The following is a 3636-nucleotide window of genomic DNA, read 5'->3' as shown; positions in this document are numbered from 1 at the left end:
TATCTGTACTCAGGCGGTTAGAACTTTCTATTTCAGGGTAGAAATCCATGGGTCTCCCTACAGAGAGGCAGTCTACCCGTTTTAAATCCTCCTAATACAATGTCTGCTACTATCTGACACATCAGATGTGTTCAACAAGTGTTTGTTGAATGGAGCCATCAGTGAGTTCATTTTATTCCCCAGTTAATTTTCTTCTGTGAGTTTGCCCCACCCGTCTACCTTTAACTTGCATTTTTTGTTTTTCCTTAAAAAAACTAGATTTGGGAAAGAATTTTTGATTTACAGAAAAGTTGCAAAGACAGGACAGAAAGTTCCCCTATGTGTCTGAGCCAGGTTTCCCTGCTGTTACTGTCTTACTTGACCCAAGGTTCATTCGTCAAACTAAGTATCTGACATTGGTGAATTAGTATTAACTGCACTCCTGACTTTGTTTGGGCTTTACGAGTTTTTCCATTAATGTTCTTTCTGTTGCAGGATCCATTCCAGGATTCCCCATTGCATTTAGTAGTCACGTCTGTCTGGCGTCCTCTGGTCTGTGGCAGTTTCTCAGTCTTTCCTTGTCTTTCATGACTTTGACAATGGTGGGGGAAGGGGTGCAGTGCTGATCATGTATCTTGCAGAATTTCCAAAATCTGTGTGTACATGGTGTTTTTCTCATGATTGGACTGGATTGGGGGGTTTGAAACATCCTTTAGGAAATATGCAATCCATTTCGCCTTTCCTGGCTTTGTGTTTTTGCAGCTAACGATTGAGCCTTTCTCTGGGTCATTATCTAAGTTAGCAATGAAGCTAGAAGGGCCTGGGGAAGCACAGATGACACCACCAGCTCAAACCTATTTTACAAATGAGTTGGGTTTGATATAGTTTTTTTTCTTAGCAGTGTTTAATTATCACAGTTTTTTTTCTTTTAATAGTTCATTCTGAAGTTGTTGGTTTTTTTCTGGACTAGGCATCAAATACACCTGCTTGGACCAAGCTCTCCTACCATTGAAAATGTGTAGTGAGGTTGTATACATGAGATTGTATGTGTAACGATATGCACATATGGTTGGGTTCACACACACATGCACACACATTAACTCATGTTAAGTCACATATTTGAGTTACTGAATCACTACATGATGAAAATTCTGTCAATGTCGTTTATCTAGATTTCAGCCAGCAGCTTAACAAGGTCCTTAACAACATCCTATAGACAAAACAGAGTAACACGGACTGATCGTAAAATTAGATGACTTTGTTTCTGGTTGAATGACAGTACCCAGAGTGTCACCCAAGACTACCTGGAAGGGAAGTGGACAGCAGAGCTTTATCATGGGCTCCACTCTGAGCTATACTTGTTGCCCCAGCTTGTAAAAATGCAAGAGGGAGGGCAAGGGTGTGTGGAGGGAGGGAGGGATGTGTGGAGTTCCCTCTCTAACTCCTTAGAGAAAAGTATCAATGCATCAACATTATCTTAACAAGCAAGCATTTTAGGCCAAACTAACCAAAAATAAGAATGTAACCTTATACAGCAATATATGATCTTTCATGAGTGTATTTGTTTGCCATGGCTGCTGTAAAAAAATACCACAAACAAGATGACTTCAAGAACATTAATTTATTCCAGCAGCTAGAAGTCTGAGATCAGAATATCATCAGTGTTGCTTCCTTCCAAGTGTGCCTGCGTTAGTTCATTCTCACACTGCTATAAAGGACTATATGAGACTGAGTAATTTATGAAGGAAAGAGGTTCAATTGGCTCACAGTTCCACAGGCTGTACAGGAAGCATGGCTGGGAGGCCTCAGGAAACTTACAATCACGGTGGAAGGCAAAGGGGAAGCAGGCATCTTCTTCACATGGTATCAAGGGTGGCAGGGGATTGTTTCAAACTTTGAAACAATCAGACCTCGTGAGAAGTCACTCACTATCATGAGAACAGCAAGGAGGAAATCTGCCCCCATGATCCAATCACCTCCCACCAGGCCCCTCCTCCAACACTGGCAATTTCAATTCCACATGAGATTTGGGTAGGGAACAGAGCCAAACCATATCAGGTGGTGAGTGAGAATCTGTTCCAAGCACCAAGGTGACTTCTGGTGATTTTCTGGCAATCTTTGGTGTCCTTTGGCTTATAAAAGCATCATCCCAATCTCTGCCTTCATCTTCACTTGGCATTCTTTCTGTGTTTGTGTCTTTGTCCAAATATTCCCTTTTATAAGAACATTAGTCACAAGGGATTAGGGATCCACCCTGCTTCACTATAACTTCGTCTTAATGAGTTATATCTGCAGTGTCCTCATTTTCAAACAACAAATAAATTTTGAGGGGACAAAATTCAACCCATAACAGTTCTGGTTACGGCAAAACTTAATGGCCTCAATCACACAGTTGATGGTGCTCACAAATTCAGACAAGGCCCAGTGGGAATGGCTTGTCTCATAAGGTCTGGAGCCTCAGCTGGATGATTCAAAGAGTTGACTTTTGACCAGAGCACCTGAGCACATCCTCCTCATGGCTGGGCTTTCTCACAACATGGCTGCCTCAGGGAGTCAAACTTCTTACCTGCCAGCTGGGGGTTCCAGGTGTGAGTGTTCTAGTGAATGGGTGCAAGATGCATTCCCTTTCATGACTCAGCTTTGGAAGCTACAGAGCATTACTTCCCCCTTACATTATTGAACAAAGCAGTTGTAAGCTCCTAAGTAGAGGGAGAGGAATTCTCTTAGACTTGATGGGGGCGCAGTTGAGTCACATTGTGGAAGGACGTGTGGGGTAGGAAGTGTTGTGGCCATTTTGGAATTACATCATCTGCTGCAGCAGCCTCTTTAACAGGGTTCGGTCTATCTGGTTGGGAGACAATCTCGTGTAGACCATTATGCCAGCCTGCCTTCTGCAATTTTCCCCAATTTTTTTCTTGCTTTGATTTTTCTTGCTTTTCATTTTTTTCTTGCTTTGATTTTGGAAAAATAATCTATTTAAAAATTCATCCTGAGTGAAACAAGACTACTAATTCAGAGTTGATGCTCCACAGGACCCTTAATAAATCATGCCAGTCCCTGGTGAGGTTAATGAGAAATTTCTTGAAAATACGAGAAAACCAATGCAAAAGCAAAGCCCTCAAGCCCATGTAACAATTCTGTGTTCACACTGGAAAAAAAAAAAACACAGTAAACTACTTTTTGTTTCAAAGAAAATTGCACAAATTCTCACGTAAAAATCAGTGGAAAGTGTTTTCATCCCAGGGCGAGAAGATACAGGGCATGTTATCAATTAGAATAGAAACGGAAGACGGCGTTTTCTGTCAAGTGGTTGCGAGTAGAATCTCTTGTTCAACAAGAACAATAATTGAAATTCTTCTCAGTTCTCCAAGAGGCCTCCATCACCTTCTCGCCATCTTTACACCACAGGAAACCCCAGGTCCAACCTTTACCACAAATGAAAAAAGTTTAGGGCTTTTCCCCTTCTGCTCACGATGGCTTTTCACCCTTCCATTCTTGTTCTCTCTCTGTTCATGGGGGTTAAGAATAGCTCTTCATGCAAGGTGGCTGCTAGAAACTTTCTTCTGGAAAGTTTACGTCATTCCAGAAAAATTAGCCACTGTGATGGCTCAGAAACCCCCCTCTCCACAGCCCCCTCATCCACACCAACACAGAGTA

At 42.0% G+C, this 3636-nt stretch overlaps 1 annotated feature.

The window, feature by feature from the left end:
• Positions 2198–3397: an enhancer, noted in NCBI's record as "BRD4-independent group 4 enhancer chr13:110556058-110557257 (GRCh37/hg19 assembly coordinates)". NCBI's record gives its function as "activates an origin of replication core promoter dependent on BRD2, P300/CBP, MED14 and CDK7 cofactors, and independent of BRD4, by STARR-seq in HCT116 cells {active_cell/tissue: HCT116}" and the evidence as "EXISTENCE:reporter gene assay evidence [ECO:0000049][PMID:35650434]".

Source organism: Homo sapiens, chromosome 13 (genome assembly GCF_000001405.40).
Source record: "Homo sapiens chromosome 13, GRCh38.p14 Primary Assembly".
NCBI lineage: Eukaryota > Metazoa > Chordata > Mammalia > Primates > Hominidae > Homo > Homo sapiens.
The sequence above is the reverse complement of the archived record's forward strand: the minus strand, read 5'-3'. Positions and strand labels throughout refer to the sequence as shown.